A 21,421-nucleotide genomic window follows, 5' to 3' on the forward strand; every position below is an offset into this window, starting at 1 on the left:
AGTTCAAGACTAGTCTGGCTAAGATGGTAAAACCCCATCTCTACTAAAAATAAAAAAATCAGCTGGGCATGGTGGCAGATGCCTGTAATCCCAACTACTTGGGAGGCTGAGACACAGAATTGCTTGAATGTGGGAGGCGGAGGTTGCAGTGAGCCGAGATCGCGCCACTGCACTCCAGCCTGGGCGACAGAGCGAGACTCCGTCTCAAAAGAAAAAAAAAAAAAAAGAAAAAAATTTAAACAGATTTTTATTTCATACTATTTAGTATACTTTCTCTACATAATATGTGTCAAAATCAACCAATGTTTTTGTGTTGCTTACTAAGAAAGCTTCATAAAAAATATCTTAAGTCCCATAAAATATATACAAACTTATACATGAATATTTGTTGGTCTAAGTATTTGATACTCTAAAAGAAACTTTATATTAAAAATAAGCAGGAATGCTTTAATAAGGACTAGCAAATTATGGTTAAATTGAGTAACAATATTATTCTATCCTAATAGGCAAGAAAACAATAAACTTCAAATTCTACTAGGTAATCTGGGGAAAATTTCACAAGTTCATAATTACTTTGCAGGCTCCACAATTTCTAATTGATGTTGCATTCTTTTAGTAAAGTAGGTACTTCTCAATTTAGGCTAACAAGTGTGATATACCAAAATCAATACACCTGATCAAAATCCTTATCTTCAGTTAATTGTGTAATAATAAGATTTTAAAAATATAGAATAAGTAAACTTGCACAATTGTACCTATAGCATTGAAAAAACACCACTGTAATGAAACATCCAGAATGGGTAAATCCATACATAGAAACAGAATGCAGGCTAGTGGTTATCAAGGGCAGGGGACTGGGGAGGGTGAAATGGGGAGTGACTTTTAATGGGTATGGGTTTTATTTTGGGGTGACGAAAAGTCCTATAACAGAGGTGATAGCCACACACGTTGTAAATATATTAAATGCCACTGAACTGTACCCTTTAAAATGGTTACTGGTTAATTTTATGTTACATAAGTTTTATCTGAATAAAAATAAAATTTTTAAAGAGTCAATGGATATAAAAAGAATTAAACATTCATGTTTTTTAAAAAGGCCTTAGAATAGTAATATTCAATGAAAAAAATAAGCAACTTGTCCATTAATACTTCAAATCATTAAATTTTAAAATGTCTTTTTCTCTAAATTGATTAATGCATATTAATACCATAAGTGGACATACAATATCAAAGCTCAAGTTTCTGAAATGCATATTCTAAAACTTTACTCAGTATTCAGTAATTGGGAATTTTAAAATGCATATTCTCATAGGTACATTGGGACATATAATGAATAGCTTCTTAGATCAGCCCACAAAAACCTATTTAATCCATATTATAGTCAAATTGTAGACAAATATATTATTGACTTTTAAAAAATGTATATACTGCCTATTTCAAGCAGATTTAAAGGGACTACAAAAAGTAACAATCATTTAAAAATTAGAAAAGAAAAAGTTAACATGTTTAAAATTTATATTAAGGGACGAAATTTTAAATCTGGTGTGATTAAAGGAGATAGATGAGCAATCTGCAGGGATTTTTAAGGTGACATTAAGAACTGAAAATGATGATGGTATCATTTCCACTTCTAAATTTGCAGCTTCCTTCTTTCTTATCACTAAGCCTTTATACCAATCAGATTTTAACTCGCAAAGAAAGAGGGAAATATCTCCCTGTAGTAACTGGGTACGAGTGAGAAAGAGACGCAAGAATACCAGAAGCCATGCAAGCGCAGAGGAGGAACCAGAGGGCAGAGGGAGTGAAGAGATGTCACAGAGGGCAGAAACCTCCATGGGAGGGCACAACAGCATGGATGGAGCATTCAGGAAAAAAGGAATGCCATCTGGTGATGGAAAAACAGAACCACCTCTGGTAGAATTAACATGGCGGTTTGTTTTTTTCACCTAAAGGTAAAAAAAGATTGAAACAGAAGAAACATTGGCGAGGCAGTTCCCTGTGATGGCCATCAGAGGGTACTGTGAGTCCGGCATGGTCTAGCTGCTGTCAAACTTCAGAAAATGGATAAATGGGTGGTGAAATAATTTGAAAACAGTCCTTGTAACTGCATGTGCAACATTTAAAAACTTTGCTTCTAGGATTACTTAGGAATTCTCTTTTAACAAAATGAAAATAATGTATAAAAGATCTTTGTGGGAACTGTGCATTACCTACATTTAAAATAGTTTTAAAGGGTTTCCTACTTTTCTAGATGGACAGATTAAGAGTACTGTAGTAACAGTGCCTTAGATTCGTATGGCAATTCTTGCCAAAACCACCAAAATAATGTTCACTTTTATCGTTATGTAATGTTTATGTACCCAGTACTGTGCAAATAATGCAAAAGATAAGTAGATGCATGTAGTCTCTATCTGTCCTCTATTTAAACTTCTTTTAGGAATTTAAAACCTGGTAGGGAGACTAGAAGTACATATAATAACTTGCACTTATTCAATGCAATTAGTGACTTGAGAGTTCAGATAAAGAAGAGAACATTATTCTGCTACGTTAGTCTGACAAAGCTTTCTGGAAGGGTCCATCTTGATGGAGGTATAGGATTTAACTATGTATAGAAAAAGCAAGGCCCACTCTAGGCAGGGGTACTGCCTAAGCCAACATCAGAAGGAAATGTGTACAACCCCTGATTAGTGCCAAAAAGACCAGATTGCACTAGGGAATGGAGAAAGAGTTAGAAAAATGAAACAGTATCTGTGAAAATCTTTACCTCTGGGAAATCTGAAGTATCCTAATAAATAACAGTGTATCATAATTTCATAAACTAGAGAAGCCATAATAAAATTTTGTCTTTTAAAAAGCTTTAAGGTTTCATTTATTTATTCAACAAATATTTACTGAGCAGCTATTATATGGCACTGTGGGAGGTAATGGGGTAACTCTGTTCCTGCTCTAATGAAGCTTTACTCTGTCTGGTGGGGAAGACAGACATTAATAGAGAGTTGGAGGTTCCTATAAGAAATAAATAATGACAAGTTATTTTATGTAATCGAATAATATATAATCAAATACTATGAAGAGTATTATAGGAAAACTTTGCCTAACCTAGAGAATTAGAATAAAATTCTCTGAGGAAATAAAAGTTCAAACTAAGCCCTGATGAATGAATAGAAGCTAACCAGGCAAAGATGTCGGGGAGAATGTTTCAGCATGCAGAAGAAATGACACACACAAGGACCCTGATCTGAAAGGCAGGCTCCTTTGAGGAACTGAGAGAAGGGTGGTGTGGTAGGACAACAAGCAAGAAGGGAAAAGGAAATATGAGATGAGGTGGTGGAGGCACTCAGGAGCCAGAGCATGCACAGCCTTGTCATGCTCATTAAGAATTTTAGGGCTTCATTCTACAAGAAAACAGGCTGGGTGTGGTAGCTCACATCTGTAATCCCAGCACTTTGGGAGGCCAAGGCAGGCATATCACTTGAGGCCACAAGTTCAAGACCAGCCTGGGCAACAAAGCAAGACCCCTTATCTCCATAAAAATTTTTAAAAAATTAGCCAAGCGGGCCAGGCACAGTGGCTCATGCCTGTAATCCCAGCACTTTGGGGGGCCAGGGTGGGTGGATCACTTGAGGGCAGGAGTTTGAGACCAGCCTGGTCAACATAGCGAAACCCCGTCTCTACTAAAAATACAAAAAATTAGCCAGGTGTTGTGGCGCATGCCTGTGATCCCAGCTACTCGGCAGGCTGAGACAGAAGAATCACTTGAACCTGGGAGGTGGAGGCTGCAGTTAGCCGAGATCATGCCATTGCACTCCAGCCTGGGCAACAGAGTGAGGCTCCATCTCAAAAAAAAAAAAAAAAAAAAATTTAGCAGAGCGTGCTGGTGCATGCCTGTGGTCCCAGCTACTAGGGAGGCTGAGACGGGAGAATCACCTAAGCCTGGTGGGGGAGGGGCAGGTGGTTGAGGCTGCAGTGAGCTATGATGGTTCTACTACACTCCAGCCTGGACAACAGAGCGCAACCATGTCTCTATTTAAAAAACGGTAACGAAAAAAAACCCAGAAGCCATTGAAGGGGAATAGCATGATCAGCAACAGAAAAGACTGGGAATGAGTATAAATACAGAAATTAAGTAAAATTTCATCAGAGTTAAGACAGGTATCTTAACAGAAGTCACATGGAGGTTTTCCAGTTTAGGAGAACTTACAGTTAAGCTATATTATTTCCAATATTCATCTGGCACAGACTTGGCAATATATTTTACAGCATAGAAAATGAAGGTGTCTATGCCTATTAAGAAGGAGAGGATTGCTTCTTACCTTTGGACTGCTGGCCTGAGGAAAAAAAGAGTAAAGTATAATGTCATAGTATTGTCTGGGAATTTTATATTTATTTTTAAAAACAAATATAAGTTCATCACTTAAAAATATGGTATATAATTTAATCATGTAAGATACCATATTTTAAACAAAAGGGGGACTTTTAAATCAATAAAATCTGATTGTTAAACTTATTTTGATTGTGATTTTTTAGAAAAACCAATGAAATTTAATAGAAGCTCATTTAAACATTACATTAAGAGTAAATTAACTTGCTAAAATTGATTGAAATAACTGGACTACATTATAAGATATGCTTCTATCATACTAACTGTATCTTGGTGCTTTGGTGAGGAGGGAGAAGACTCATTTTCAGGAAAGCAGGGTTTTGAGGCAGTTGGAGATTCCTACAAGAAATAAGTAATGAAAAAAGTTACTCTATTTTATATAATTATATTTCTGCCTCTACTCACAGTGGGAGAGCTTAGTAAGAGAGAATAACAAATTTTTTCCTCGTTATTTTCGTTCTATATTCAGCTCCAAGCTAATAAGGTAATGATTTTAAAACTACAAACGTTATTAAAAGTTTATAAAATATGGTGCTTTTTATAGCAATTACAGTTAAATTTAAATAATGCATATGGAATTACTCAAAAGAAATGATACAAGCTGCCTTAAAATCATGATGTTATATCAGTTTGAATTAACCATATTAAAATAAGTAAAACCTAAACACTTCTGGATAAATAAGTTATAATCATGATACTAACTTGCTCTTGGTATGGTAAGTATAAATACCCAGGATTAGGCAAGGTCACAGAAATACCTTAGCAAATGCCAGAATGAGAATTTAATTTTAGTCAAAAGCTATATAAGAAATTAAATTGCTATTAGTATTTAAGGTAATTTATAGAAAACTTTCCAAAAATTAGAAATAAGATATTTTAAATTCAAGAAAGAAACCTACGATTTAAATATTAATAACTCCCCAGAAAAAAAAATTTTAATGTCTAAGCCTACAAGAGTATCATAAGACCAAACCAATAACGTGTTTTTTTTTTAAGCAGTCTGCTTTGTCAATATTAAAACACAGAATATGATTTCTATTACAGATGTTGATAGGACTATTCATGGAGGGTAAGACTGAAAAACTTTTTTTTGGTAGCAGTAGCCCACCTCCACTTAAATTTTCTCCATTTCCTTAGATGTTTTGAATAATTTCAGAAAAAGAGAATTTTTTAAATCATACACCATTACCTATTATTAATTTGTTTCTATCAAACCAAAAAGTTCCTTTGAACATTCATCTCCACGTAGGTATCATTCTAGTTTTCTATGTCTATAAACCTGGAGAAGGTGCTGTCAACCAACCTGGGAATTTGTTTTAAGTAACACTTGCAAAAAAACTATTAACTCAACATTTACTGATTTGGAAAAATGTCTTCGGGTTTATATCCCACACAATTTGTAAATACAGAAACTAGTAGCAGTGAAAGTTTACATGGAAGCCCTTGAAGGGACAAGTTTATAAATCAAACAAGGTACTATTAATGGAGAAAATATTAAAATCACATTGAATAAAAAACTTCAAAAAAATTTAACTTAAGATCCAAATCTCACTTAAGTATTTTTTTCTGACAACTTCAGATCAATTTTTGATTCCTAAGACTGTCTGATAGTAAAACAGTATGAGAAAGATGGAAGATCTGATGATTCATAAAGTAGAAAATAAGTAACTGAATAAAATGATAATTATATTTTTCATAGCACATTCAGTCCCACAGAAATAAAAACCACAAATACAGTAATAACATATGTACAATTATAACTATTATAAACAAGAAATAATTTTACATGTATACATTTATCTATATTTAGATATATGCATATAAATATACACCTTATACATCTATGAATAGTTTTAGTAAAAACAGAAAAAAAAGGCAGAAACAGATGCATTCACACATACACACACAGACATACGGCTACCCTTCCAAGGTTATCTGTAAACTGAATTAGGACCTATGTCATCACAACAACATTTGCTATACAATAATAGATGGTCCTTGACTTATGATTGTTCAACTTTAAGGTGATGGGAAAGTGATAGGCATTCACTAGAAAACATACTTGAAATTTTGATCTTTTCCTGGGCTAACAATATTCAATATGACACTCTCTCATGATGCTGCACAGAGGCATCTAGCCCCAGCTTCCAGTCAGCCACCTGATTACCAGGGTAAACAGATTACAACGGTAAATAATTGATATTCTACAGTGTACCATGTTACTGAATGATTTTGCCCCACTGTAGGTTAATGTAAATGTTCAGAGCACATTTAAGGTAGGCTAGGCTAAGCCATGATGTACAGTGGGTTAGGTGTATTACATGCATTTCACCTTGTGGTATTTTCAATTAATGGTATTTTCAACTTATGTGGGTTTACTGGGATATAACCTCACCCTAAGTTGCAGAGCATCTGTATTAGGTTGCTGTGATTACAATTCAGGTTATACACACTTCATCCCTTATCACATATTAGCTAGTTTGTTCTGGTAGTCAGTCCCTTTTTCAAAACCTAAAATACTGCCTTATGTTAAGAAACTTATGCATCTGTTTGCAAAGGGTAAGGTAGAGGGTAAAAAAGACATTTCTACCAAAAATAAGTAAATCTCTAATCGCAAAAAAATCATATTCTTGCAACTCTGGGACAATGAGATGAAAGCATGCAAGTTATTTAAAGCAAGAGATTGAAAATTAATTTTAAAAAATGAATTGAGAGATTAAAAAGGAGTAAGATTGTTTGACATTTTATGATGTCGAAAAAAAGAAAAAGGAGTAAGAAATTTTAAGCATAAATTATCAAAATAATCATCCTATTTGTTCTGGTATGAAGAGGCGGTAGAGTTGGTTCAACAATGGTTTGACTTAGAACAGTATATATGGTATTTGGGAGATTCCTATTTATCCTGAATTGTAATCTGGTTCTTGGTTGAGTGAATTTTTCCTATTAGAAATCTCTAGGTATTTTTCTTACCTAGATTAATCTCAACACTAATATATTTTCAAGCATATCTTCAATAGCACAGACTCCAGAATGTCATTCCTTTAATGTGGTCTCTATATTCAACACAAGATCCTTACAAACTAGAAACTAGAAACTGGTCTGTTACTTTCGTTGTTTTCTATTAGTCCATCTTATACACATGTATGAAGGCTGTTTCTAACACTACACCTTTAAATTCAACAAAGACCAATTTTATAGTAACTTGTAGTACCAAAATATTATGCTTGTTATGACTGATAAATTGAGATTATTTATAAAGGAATTTAGGACTGAAAGTATCCAAACATAATGAAATATGCCATAGGGATAGTTAATTCTGTTTTCATGAACACACCTAAAAATTACAGAAAAACTGTTAGTCATGCTACAAGAAGCCTGATGATTTAAAAAACCTTTACATTTCAAAATCAATATACCTAATATTCTGCAAATTCATACTAAGTTCCCAACTTATCCCCAAAATGAAGCTACACTGTGAATAAGTAACCTCTAAAGAAGTGTTTAAAACATCCATTCTAATGTTTGCATTAAAATTTACCCGTTTTTGAAACAGAGGACATTACTCCTCAGACTGATAAAAGAAGTGCTTTCTGCAGAGAGCATTTAGAGAAACAAAGGGAATAGAATTCCAATATTACCTGGGATGAGGAAAATTAATTAAATGTCTTCCCTATGAAACCTCCTAGAGACTGAAGACAAAGGATAACAGAATGTGACTTTAAAATAAGGTAAGCAAGAAAAATCTGTCACCTACTGGGATCAAATGTATCAAGGTACACACATCAGTAAGCTACAGATAAGTCAGTCTATTGTGCAAAAACCAAAACCCTCAAAACCAAAACCTACTTCATGACAAACTGATGCTAAATACATAAAAATGTAGTCACTAAAGTATGCAATTTGGTAAAAGAAACAATAATGTAGTAACATTTCAACATACATGCAGATCAAAAGCTTAAATTAGTTCAAAAGAAATCAAATGTTTTAGCAAAGAATATTTACTAAATACATAAAATATTAGTACGAATAGTTACAATTCACTGTACAATATAATGCAAAGAACTTGCCAAAAATCTCAACAGTCCTACCTTATCATTAGTGTCCAATACAATGGTGCTATGTCTCCACTTTGTTAATACTATTGGTTCTTGCAGCCGCCTGTCCAGGCTCCTACTTTTAATTATTTCTCTTTGCTGCTGGGATGAAGCATTATACTAAAACAAAACAAAGCAAAAAACACAAAAAACAGTTCATAAACAATAGAAATGAAAGTGGAATCTAAACATCTTGGCTCCAAATGACAAAGACTGTTAGGCGAAGTTCATTATATGACATCTCCACAAATTTTCCAGCCTCAGTTTTCTCATCTTTAACCAGAACTGTGGCACAATTGAGAAGATCACAGACTCTGGTGTTACACAGACCAAGGTAGTGTTATCTTTGGTAAAATATTTAATCTCCCTCAGTCTAAGTTTTGTCAACTGTAAAGTGGATATAACAGAAATATCTCATTCACGGAGTTGCTATAAAGATCAAAGTATTAAAGAAGAAAGTATTAAAAGAGTAGTATATTATCAATAAATATTAACTATCATAATTTATAAAGTAAAATCAGACAAATTATTTTTTCTACTTCTATCTCTTCTACTAAAATCAAAAATAAGCATTATTTTAAAAACCTAAACCAAAAATTAAATTCAAAATGAACTAGTAAGTTCTTTACATGTTCTGGATTCTAAACCTTTCTAGGCTATGTGAGTTGAAGATATCTTTTCCTAGTTTGTAGCCCATCTTCTCCCCTTTGATTACATCTTCTACAAAGAGAAGGTGTTTTGTTTAATTTTAATTCAGTCATATCTGTCAATCTTTCCTTTTATAGTAGGCTTCTGAGTCTTGTTCAAGAAATCTTTCCTACTCTGCAGACAAAGATATTCTTTGATATATCTTTCCACAGTCTTTAAAGTTTTACTTGTTATATTTATGTCTTTAATCTAACTGAAATTAATCATTGAGCATGAAGTGAGGTCAAGATCTACATTTATTTTCATTTTTATCATGTGAAAACCAATAATCTTAGTAACATTCTTACTTAGTCCATGCTTACCCCATTGATTTGTTTTCTTTTTAGTTGTTGTTGCAGCATCTCAGATGACACAAACCAATGCTTGTTTGTTTGTTGAGACAGGGTCCCTCTCTGGTCACCCAGGCTGGAGCGCAGTGGCATGATCAGAGCTCACTGCAACCTTGAACTTCTGGGCTCAAGAGATGTTCCTGTCCCAGCCATTTGAGTAGCTGGGACTACAAGTACATGCCAGCACACTTGGCTTTTTTTTTTTTTTTTTGTAGAGCCAAAGTCTCCCTAACCCCATTGATTTGTAATGCCATGTCTGAGTTTTATACATGTGCCCTTACTATTCCAACTTAATTACCATAGCAGGAACTCTATCTCTCCTGTTCCCTACCCACCAACGACTCCCTATTCAGGAATATTTTGACTCTTTATGGATATCTGTTTGCAAATATAAATTTTAGGTTCCATTCCCCAAAAAAGTGAGGGAAGGGATATTAAATGGAAATGCATTGGACTTGTAGATTAATTTGGACATTGTTATAAAATTCAGCCTCCCAATCCAAGATCATGATGGTATGCTACACTATTTATTTGGGTCTTCCTTTATTCTGCTCTGAAAATTTCTTTATTAAAATCTTACAGACCTTTAATAAACATGTTCTTAGTTACAACTCTTGTTGCTACTGCTGCTAATGTAAATAGTATCTTCACTGCAATCACATTTTCAAACTCACTTTTTACTAGACAAATGGGTAGTTTCATGTTAATTTCATATCCAGCAACTTTGCTGAACTCTCATCAGTTTTAAGTTTATAGGTTCTCTTGGGATTTTCTAATAATAACAATAATTTAAAAAAACAATTGCATCTCTTCCTTTTTAATTCCATTATTTCTTTCCTTTTCTTAATTGTTGAATAGAAGCGTGATAGAAATGTTCTAGTCTAGTTCCTAACTCTAATGGGAAAGCTTCTGTAATCTCACCGTGAAGTATGAGATTTACTGCAGATTATTTAATAGATAAACTTTAGCATAATGTGTCATTGTAAGAAAGTGATTTTCATCTGGGCTCGGTGGCTCACGCCTGTAATCCCAACACTTTGGGAGGCTGAGATGGGTGGATCACCTGAGGTCAGGAATTTGAGACCAGCCTGGCCAACATGGTAAAAGCCTGTCTCTACTAAAAATACAAAAATTAGCCAGGTTTGGTGGTGCATTGCTATAGGCCTAGCTACTCAAAAGGCTGAGGCACAAGAATAGCTTGAATCTGGGAGGTGGAAGCTGCAGCGAACCGAAATTTCACCACTGCACTCCAGCTTGGGCGACAGAGTGATAGTCTGTCTCAAAAAAATAAAGAAAGAAAGAATAGTGATTTCCTTACAGAAGCATATTCTTGGATCACAGTGATTTAATATCCATTTTGCAAATCTTTTAACAGGTGTGTTTAGAGCATTTACATTTAATGTGATTATTTATAATGTTAGGATTTAAGTCTGGCATTTTATCATTAATTGTCTGTTTCTCCTTTCCTACCGTCCTGTGGGCTACTTGAGCAATTTTTACTATTATATTTTAATATATCTACAGTTTCTTGAGCCTCTCGTTATACTTTTTTAGTGCTTGCTCTAGGGATTACAATATACATAATTTATCAGTCTACTAGTATCAACATTTTACTACTTCAAGTGGAATAATAGAAACCCTACCAAAAATTACATCCCTTTACTCACTCACTCTTTATGAAACAGTTGTCTTAAATATCACTACTGTATATCAGGACTACTTCAGGAATGTTATAATTTTTGTTTCAAATGTCAAAGACAATTTTAAACACCCAGGACAAAAGTCTCCTCAGATATTCACCCTTTCTGTTGTTCTTTATTCATTCCTGATATTGCAAGTTTTCTTATCACTTCCCTTCTGTTTGAAAGACTTCCTACAGCAACTCTTTGAAAGCAAGACTGCTAGGGATAAATCTCTTAGTTTAGTTTCATTCTGAAAATGTCCTTATATTACTTTTATTCCTGAAGGATATTTTTGCTGGGTGCAGAAGGGTTCACAGTTCTTTTCTTCTAGCATTTGAAAAATGTTATGCCACTTCTTTCTGGCTTCCATGGCTTCTGATAAGGCACTCACTTCATTCAAATTATTATCCTAAAGGTAAAGTGTTGTTTCACTGAAGGGCTTTCAAGACTTTATCAGGGGGAGGGAGGGTCTTTAGTTTTCAGAAATTTTGAATACAATGAGCCTGGATATGGATTTCTTTGGGTTTACCTTATCTGGTGTTTATTCAGCTTCTTGAGTCTGTTGGTTTGTCTTTTGCCAAATTGGGGGCATTTTCAAACTACTTCTTCAAAGTATCTTTCTGCCTCACACTCTTTCCTTTCTCCTTCTGGAACTCCAATGAAAGGAAGGTTAGCTCTTTCGTATTTTCCCACAGGTCTCTGAGGCACTGTTCATTTTTTTTTTTTTTTTTTTTTTTGGAAATCTATTGTCTCTCCATTGTTCAGACTAAATAATTTCTACTAACCTATCTTCAAGATCATAGATTCTCTTCTCTTTTACCTCCATTCCATTATTGAGCCATCCAGTACTTGATTTTTGGCTCTAGGATTTCCCTTTGGTTTTTCTGTATATCTTCTATTTCTTTGCTGAGACTTCCAACCTCTTCACTTATCTCAAGTGTGTTTATAATTGCTTGCTGTAGCACTTTTATGACAGCTGACTTAAAATCCTATGAGATAATTCATTCATCCCTGTCATCTTGGTGTGTCACCAACCTACTGATTGTCTTTTCTCATTCAAGTTCAGATTTTCCTGGTTCTTGCTATGACAAGTAATTCTAGGTCATATTTGGATGTTTTGAGTACTATAAGACTTTGGTTTCTATTTAAACATATTTTAGCAGGTTGTGAACCCCAGCCTGCTTTTATGGCCCATAGTTCAAATGTCAATTTCATTTTAAAAATCTTTTAATTGCTGTTCTGATCTGCCCTGTTTGTGTGCTACCCAGAGGCCAGTCTGAAACCTGGGCAGTACTCCCCACCATGTTTCAGTTCTCAAAGATTTTGCTATGTTAATTCTGGTTGTTTTCATGCATAGGCCACTGGGAGTAGTGTCTAGGACCTTATACACAGTTTAGAAATCCCTTTCTCTGGTTCCTTCCTCTCCATAATCCTCTTCCCACACTCTGCTTGGGATAGGGTGGGGTGCTGCCTTGTTGCTGTTGTCCATTTAGTGCATAGGGAGGATGCATCACAGGGTTCCTTGCATGCACTGTGGGTCTAGTCAACAGGGCTCCACCCCACAGTCTCCATAGTGCCCAGGCAGGGAGGGGGAGAGTGCTCTTTCAATAGTGCTGGTTAGGGATGGCTGACTGGGCTTCATAACATGTTCTGCACAGCACATCATGCAGAAGGATAGGCTTTTGTGGTGTTCACCTGGAACAGAGTAGGTATAATAAACAGAGACAGTGTGCTTTACTTGGCTTAAAATGTTGATCATGTATTACCACAGATTTCTGGGTTGGCTAAAAACTGTCTGATCTAGAGGGGCTCATCTGCACCAGTCTGTCTCTCATCCCCCTCCTGAGACTGGGAGGCTAGCCTGGGCACATTCTTCTCGTGGCAATGGCAGAGGTGCAAGAGCAAGCCCTGACTACAAGCCCATTTCAATACTCTCCTTGTGTCATATTTGTTCATATCCCAGTGAAAGCAAGCCACACAGCTGAACTCAGTTAACGACAGGACAATTTGGGAGGCCACCACAAAGGTACACAACAAAGAACCTAATACTAGAGTAAGAATGGATCCAGTGGTGCCATCTACTGCAGTAGGTGATCTGTCCTTTCCCCCTGTGACGGCTTTTAAGATTGTCTCCTGGGTTCTGAAGACCCAGCAAAATTTGTTGACATGTTGATTTATTTTTATTTATCCTTGACAGCATTCAAAGCATATTTTCTAAAGACTCATGTCTTCCTTCAATTTTAGAAAATTCCTAGAAATTATATTTTCAAATACTGTTTCCACACCATTCCTCCATTCTCTTCTTTTGGAATTCCTAATACATGAATATAGAAAACTTTCAACTCATCCTCCATTTTTCTTAACTATGCTTTCATATTTGTTAGCTTTCTGTCCCTGTCTAAAGTTTATGCTGACTGCATTTTTTATTTGAATAACTATGTTTTTTCATCTTGAAGATTTCTAATTTATTCATCATATTTACCTATTCATGTATGTTTTTATTTTTCCTAATTTCTTGTTCTTTTTAAATGAAAGCCTTCATTTAATTCTGATCATCCACAGCATAATTTTAAGCCTTTATTAAATTATTAAGAACATTACTTTCGGCTAGGCGCGGTGGCTCACGCCTGTAATTCCAGCACTCTGGGAGGCTGAGGTGGGCAGATCACAAGGTCAGGAGTTCGAGACTAGTCTGACCAACATGATGAAACCCCATCTCTACTAAAAATACAAAAATTAGCCAGGTGTGCTGGTGCACGCCTATAATCCCAGGTACGTAGGAGAATCACTTGAACCTGGGAGGCAGAGGTTGCAGTGAGCTGAGATCGCGCCACTGCACTCCAGCCTGGGCGACAGAGCGAGACTCGTCTTTAAAAAAAAAAAAAAGAACATTACTTTCATCTGGAGTGAATACCATGTTTTGATTCTTCTTATGTCTATGATAATAGCATTGGATTTCTTCACATATTTTATTTGAAATACTGAACAGCAGACTTCATTTTGAGTGGGGAATGTTTTGTTTTCTCTCTCTCCATTTACTCTCCTTTATTTCTTTCTCTCAATCCTCCTTCCTGTCTAATAGTTTTCTGGTTCCCTTCTCCTACACCTAACCCAGAGTGTTTGTATTTATGTATACATTCTTTTTTACTCAGTTGTCATATAAACATGTTTCTTCTTTCCAAACTTACAACAAAAATTTTTAGGGTAAAGACCATGTCCTATGTATTTGCATTTATCACAACATATTACATAATACTGAACACCAAAGATGTGTTCAGAAAATATTAAACTAAATTTTAATATCTGCATGGGGGTTACAAGCTTGACAGATTTATCTTAGACTTACTAGTAAGTATTAAGTTGCTTAAGAGTGCAGAATGTAACCTGAAGTTGTCTTTATCATGCAGTAACAATCCATGAAATAGTGACTCTACAGCACTTTTCCTTATTTCCTCATTTCCACTGTATTTAATTCAAACCTCTTCTCCATATCCAATTTAATTGAGAGTTAAACTGTGAAGACCTTCTGACACTTTATGCTAAGCAGCAAATGGCAGCAGAAAATGAAATAGTATCACAAAACTGAGGATTCAACGCTGGTCACAATCAGTACCCATTTCCACTGCTGTAAAATACCCTTTGAGGTCTTGATTCAGTCTCTTGCCTCTCCTCTTTTTTTCATTAAAGGCATCTCTGAAAGTAAATAGGTTTCCTAATGCAGCCTATAGTTCTTCTGACCAAGGAAATTATAGAATTGAGTTATAAAGAAACCCAGTAGGAGTATTTAGCTACCAGTTAAGACTCCAAATTATTCCTGATATTAGGCCGTCCTGGGACTCTCTCCCTTCAAAGGACCCTGACCTGGGACAAATCACTCAAAAGCAGCCTTGTGACTGATGTCATTACTCCAGGGAATCAGAAACCACTATGAAGAAAGATACAGCAGATGATTCCTCCAAAAACTCAACTGGTATTTGAGGTACTGTTAAGAGCTACAATTCAAATCTGTCAAGCGGAACAAAAAACTTAATATGTTTATTTAATTATTGTATTAATAAAATATTAGTCTTCTATAACCTAAATCGTTTTCAGTGAACTAAACATTGAGCAGATTTTTCTTCTGGTTCCTTCAAGTGGAAATCAGAGCTTGTATTTTATAAGCATAACCCTTATTAGAACAGCCTAACAGAACCAATCCCTGTTATACATAGTTTTCAATACTGAGTAATTACATCCCTCAAAACAATACTCTTTCCCCAACATATAAGTTATTACATATTTTGGCCATCATGATCCATAAAATCATTCTTTCTAAATTAATCACTAAATTTTTTTTATAAACGGTACCAATTTTGAAGAGCAGTATCTGAGGTATTCTATTACTTCTTCACAGCACATTAATAAAATAAATTGCTTATCTTATTATGTTTATCTCCTTTCCCCTAAAAGTTGGTAACAGTCGTACTAAGCTTGAGGTATCATTTTCCCACTTATAAGTTTTATTGGAAGACAATGAAATATTTGGAAAATAAAATGGTTATTTAACTTTTATAAAACTTAACTTTAAAAAACTTGCTAGAGTATCACAACTGCTAAGCTATGGTTCTTCAGAGTTCTGAGTGCTTGGCACAACTTCAAAGTTTCAAGGATAAATAAGGTTTTATCTTCAGAATCACATTCTAAAAGTATAAATTAATAATAATGAAAATGAAAAATATCCACAAATGTTTTATTGAATTGTGTTTCATAATTTTAAAGAGTAATGAGATAAAACATTCAACCCTGAAATATGTGATTTGTGGCACTTTTCAATAGACTTTTTATTTGGATCTTTTTCATTCACGGTATTTTATGATTGATGAAGTAAAAACACAATGTGATAATAGTAGTATCTTCTTAACTTTTTATACGGGAGCTCTTATAATTAAAATATAAAAATTATCTTCACTAATACTAATATGTTAAGCTGAAAACAGTATTTTAAAAAACAATCCTATTGTATAAATGTAAATTTTAATATGACTCCGTAATTAATTTAAACAATAAAGTGGTTTAAAATATGGAATAGTTTTTCCTGTTGAGCTGAGCAAACAGAAAGTAAGAACCTACGTAAAATGTGAGATAAAGGATCAAAAAATGCTTATCTGAAGATGTGACAAGTTTTTTAAACTACAAGAAAATTCTGAGGCTATGCTTCATCAACAAATTAATCAAAGGTACCAGTATTTCCTTTATCTATCTCCTCATCCCCCACACCCATGAACTTTTCCATTATGGCCACCTACACATTGTTCCATGAGATTACAAAACTGTAAAAGCTGTCAGTTACAGTGGAGCTCTCTTCTGCTACTTGGTCAACTCAGACTCACAAAGGTATTCTTAAAAATCAATTACAGGATATGTATTTCATTTTCATCCTACCCATATCAAGCCTTAGAATTTCATAAAATAATGAAAGGCCAGATAGCATTCACATAAAGAAGAAAGCACTATTAACATTAGTTTACTAGATTAGCGTTTCCGAACTTGTAGTCAATGTAGTAACATCTAGTCATTTTTTCTATATCCATGTTTCATTTATACTATTAATATTCTTCTTTAAATTGACTTACTTTGGGGAAAAGACAAATTTTAAAAACTAAAGTATATGTAACAACTGACACCACATATTTGTCCACTAATTACGGCTATTTTCTAGAACATTAAAATAATGCACCAATTAAAATTCAAATGTTTGCTCATATATCACTTAAAATTATCTCAAGCACCAATAGTGATATGCATATGGCCACTTTGAAACCTACCACCTTAGATAAACTCAGCCCTGGTACACTTGTCTGGAAATGAGACGTCCAGCTAAATCCTAGGACATCTTATCACATGTTGCCTATATCTCAGTCAATGAATGGCTCAATCATACACACCATTTACATAAGAGGATAAACTTGAATACTGAGTTACTTTTCTTTCTCTCAAAAAATGATTAAATATAAGACCAACTTTATGTAGAAAAATCAATATACTCAACACAACTAGATATAAGATGGCATTATTGGTATTGAAGAGAATTCTTATTTCCAAGAATAAGGAAAGGCCAATTTCAAGTTAACCCAAAAGATATTCTGAATAGCAACAATCAGTATCACATAGTGAAGACACCTGTACATCTTAGAAAACTTACACTACTCACAGTATTCACAGTGAATTCTGAAAAAATTATTCTACTTTGTAAAAGTAGAATAAAGATCTTAAAATAAATCTGCTGAAACCATCTCCAGATATTACTTCATCTACTATTTTTAAATAGAAATTCGGTGTCAAGGTTTATTACCTTTGGCAATTCCCATTCTGACCGAGATCCGTCTGCACTGTAGTAATATTGTCTACCTTGATCATCAACATGCTTGAGCCACTATAAAAACAGAACAGGTGTTTTTTATTAAATTTAAATAAAAGTGAGTTTAAGCTACTACTATCAGAGATACTAGATTTAATTCTTATGAATTTTATTCTACTTGATCAAGAACATTGCAACAAAAAATTCTTTTTTTTTTTTTTTTTTTTTTTGAGAGCCCAGGCTGGAGTGCAATGGCACCATCTCGGCTCACCACAACCTCCACCTCCCAGGTTCAAGCAGTTCAAGCAATTCTCCCGCATCAGCCTCCCGAGTAGCTGGGATTACAGGCATGTGCCACCACGCCTGGCTAATTTTGTGTTTTTTTAGTAGAGATGGGGTTTCTCCATGTTGGTCAGGCTGGTATCGAAATCCTGACCTCCGGTGATCCGCCTGCCTCGGCCTCCCAAAGTGCTGGGATTATAGGCGTCAGCCACGGCGCCCGGCCGGCAACAAAAATTTCTAACTAATTATACTAAAAGCCTTGCATTTTAAGTTTGGTAAGAATAAATATACTCATTATTAAACATGGCTTTATTTGCTCTCTCTATCCTCCAATGTCTGGCTAGCTGCTCAAGCACCACTTAACAACAAGCAACATATAACATACGATGTACATATGCACTGGAACACAGGTACACTCACATTCTCAAAACAGGTTTGAGAAATTGACAAAAGAGAAATGTTTTTCAATTAAATGTACAACTAAACTATTTAAAGGCTCATTTCATGCAAACCTTTAGGAATTACTTCCTATGGCCAAACACAATAAAATTTAAATAACAGCAACAACAGAACATCATGCAATAAAACACAGGGAATATGAGGGGAAAAAAGACTACATATTGCTAATACAAACACATGATCTTGAGTATGACATAAATGAAAAAACTGCTTCCGTATGTTCTAATGTCAAATAATTGAGGCAGGAAAGAGGGATAAAAGCCTAGCCCCACTTATTCCCAAGCATATCTTCTCTGAACATGTACAACCCACAGTTGCTTTCTCAAATGATACCAGATGCAATACACACATAAAATGTCAATATTCATTACAGACTAATCATAAAATACTAGATTGATGGTTTTTGTTTTACATAAATTTGATTGTAATAGAAAAAGGAGAATAGGCAGTGAGGCGATGTATGATAATGGCACAGAGAGAAAACCATTTCCAAAAAACTATTCCCTCAGAAAAATATAAAGAAATATGCCTACTGAAGAAATCTAAACAAATGACATTCAACAGGTGTACTCTTAAAAAGTCTTCCATGAGTACAAGAGCATAAAAATTACTATCATCCTTAGCAGTTTAAAACAATCAGTAGTTACACTGAGTTTTCGTATTGTCAATTGGCATGATTATAAAGTTACAATGAAGAATATTTTCATGAGTTTTTTCTTTTTTAAATACTAAAACTGCAGTACACAACTATTTTATGAGAGAATTCTGCCAAAAAACACTAGATGAGAAAAAAAGAATGTACCTTTTCATTAGTATAGTCACTGGTATATAAGGTATGCCCACGTTCATCCAACTCTTCTGACCAACCCCTTGGAGGAGAACCACACTGACTATCTGACTGGCTGTAAGAAGTGCTGTAGTAGTTTTCTTCCGATGAAAGAAGCTACAAATAGTCAGAAACATAAGGATTTTTCTTTTTTGAATATAAATATGAATTGGTTGAAAATCTAATAAATAAATTTTACTTGACTATAAGTATGAAGATATCTTAAATATATCTGAATATTTGATTTTGAAAATAAATTGATAAGTCTTTAAATGGTACATTGTAAGAGGTGAGGTAAAATTAATAGTGGTTATTTTATCACATTAGTGCAGCCCTAGAAAAATTCACCACAATAAAACTGAAAACAATGTTTTCAGACCAAGGAGAGCTCGAATGTTACTTAGTGCTGCTTTCGTGCTGAAATCAAGTTTAAAAATGAGAGGAATAGGTGTGTGTACACATATCTGTGTGTAAACAAGGGAGGAGACGAGGGAACTTCATTAGACTGAGCTCCTTCTCATGTACCACAAGCATATAGCCACATGCAAGGCAAACAACCCTGCTCAATAAATATATCTCAGACTATTTTTCTATAATTTGTGTTATAATTTATTGATAAATTCTCCTAACTCATTCAGTCAAATGCTTGTTAAAGACTACTGGAAACTAAACTTCAAAACAAGAAAAAATAACATTGAGCAAATTCAAACACAATACAGAAAGACAAATAAAAAATTCTGTATGAAAATAATATAGGGGCCAGGAACGGTGGCTCACGTCTGTAATCCCAGCACTTTGGGAGGCCAAGGCCAGAGGATCATTTGAGTACAGGAGTTCAAAACCAGCTTGGGCAACATAGTGAGACCTCATCTCCATTTTTATTCAAAAGAAGAACAAGGAGGAGGAGGAGGAGGAGGAGCAGGAGGAGGATGGGGAGGAGGAGGGGAGGGGGAGGGGATAGGAGAGGGAAAGGGGAAGGGGGAGGAAAGGAGGGGGCGAAAAGGAGGGGAGGGGAGGGGAGGGAGAGGAAGGGAGGGGGAGAAGGGGAGGGGAAAGGGAGGGGGAGGAGAAAATAAGGTAATACGGGTACACATGATATGATAAACTGCAGACACATGAGGGAAGCGAATTAGAAGACTGGGAAAATTTAGAAACTTTTGATGCCTACTGACAAGAGGCACCATAATATGACTAAATGGCAATTTGCTTTCTGCACTTAAAAGTCATTCATTTAAAAATCATTTATTAGGTTAGCACTCATGTGCAAATGACCCTTCCTATCACCTCTAGATAAAATAGTTTCGGCAAGTAAAACTTACTCATTCAGACTGTATTTTCTATCATCATAATTTGGTCTGAAACACTAAGATAGGTAGATTCTCAAGATTGTAGTTAAAGACACTAAGAGCCTAATATTAATATGTTCACAAAAACATAGCTTTACAGAAACACTGCATAAAGTGAATTATATATGTTTTACAACAGAAACATTTTTTAAACATTGAAAGCCTAATTCAAAAATCAGGAGTTTATTTTTATTTAATTGAGGCAACTTAAAATGCAAGCTCATAGACGAGAAGAGTGCAGTAAAACTTTTAGAAACAGAAAAAGGGCAACTGAATTAGTAAAATTAATTTAAGAAACAAAATCACAGAATCACTTTTTCAAAGATATGACTTTCTAGCTAACAAAATTCTCATCATAATTTTCCAAATTTTGCACAGTAAATATGATGTTCTACCATGAAAAGTAACCTCCAATATCTTCATGTGTTTTATATTATACTACAGAACCAGGCTTTAAGATCTGGATATCTTCCACTGGAAAATAGTTGTTTAATGGCAGTTAAGTAAAAGTTAAAGTTAAGATTATTTTTGGCAAGCATTCTATAGATGTTAACTATTCTATACCTAATAACTCCATTCAAAGGTGTAACCAATTCAGTAACTTTGGGATGTATTCTGCAGCAAATGTATCCTAGTACAAATATGAGGGGGCTATGGTAGATGCTCCATTTATAGAAGAATGGCAGGTAGGTATCCCAATTGATCATCTTAACAGAAACAGTTGAAAATGTTACATAAAATTTTTTTTAAAATAATCTATGAACAAAAGGTTAATTAAGAAATCCTCAGAGGTCAAAAGCTAAGTGGAAACAAGAATCAAGACAGTCAAGCAGAAGAAAAAAGAGCAGCTTTCTTCTTGAAGGCATTTGCCAGACCCCAAACTAAAATGTTAGTTTTCAAGACCACGCAGGAGTGTTAGAGAACTGAACTCAGGATTACCAAAAGCAGGAAGTCTAAAAGGCTATCCCACAATACAG

The 21,421-nt window shown here is 34.7% G+C and overlaps 1 protein-coding gene across 10 annotated transcripts in view, besides 1 other annotated feature; it reads right to left on the minus strand.

Moving 5' to 3' along the window:
• Positions 1-21,421, minus strand: part of ARHGAP12 (Rho GTPase activating protein 12) — a 123,479-nt gene that overhangs the window by 29,594 nt on the left and 72,464 nt on the right. For 2 of the 10 annotated variants that reach the window (XM_005252644.3, NM_001270699.1), the window contains 3 exons: positions 17,526-17,606; positions 8,470-8,595; positions 4,646-4,720 (listed from right to left, as the gene is read on the minus strand). In XM_005252644.3, coding sequence (XP_005252701.1) covers positions 4,646-4,720; positions 8,470-8,595; positions 17,526-17,606 — 282 coding nt within the window. Of the gene's footprint in view, positions 1-4,313; positions 4,329-4,645; positions 4,721-8,469; positions 8,596-17,525; positions 17,607-19,074; positions 19,216-21,421 lie in introns of all 10 variants that reach the window. The other 8 variants (NM_018287.7, NM_001270697.1, NM_001270695.1 and 5 more) reach the window with 8 other exon arrangements.
• Positions 16,397-16,597: a silencer, noted in NCBI's record as "peak921 fragment used in MPRA reporter construct". NCBI's record gives its function as "represses an SCP1 promoter by STARR-seq MPRAs in K562 erythroleukemia cells {active_cell/tissue: K562}" and the evidence as "EXISTENCE:reporter gene assay evidence [ECO:0000049][PMID:32103011]".

This window comes from Homo sapiens, chromosome 10 (genome assembly GCF_000001405.40).
Source record: "Homo sapiens chromosome 10, GRCh38.p14 Primary Assembly".
Taxonomy (NCBI): Eukaryota; Metazoa; Chordata; class Mammalia; order Primates; family Hominidae; genus Homo; species Homo sapiens.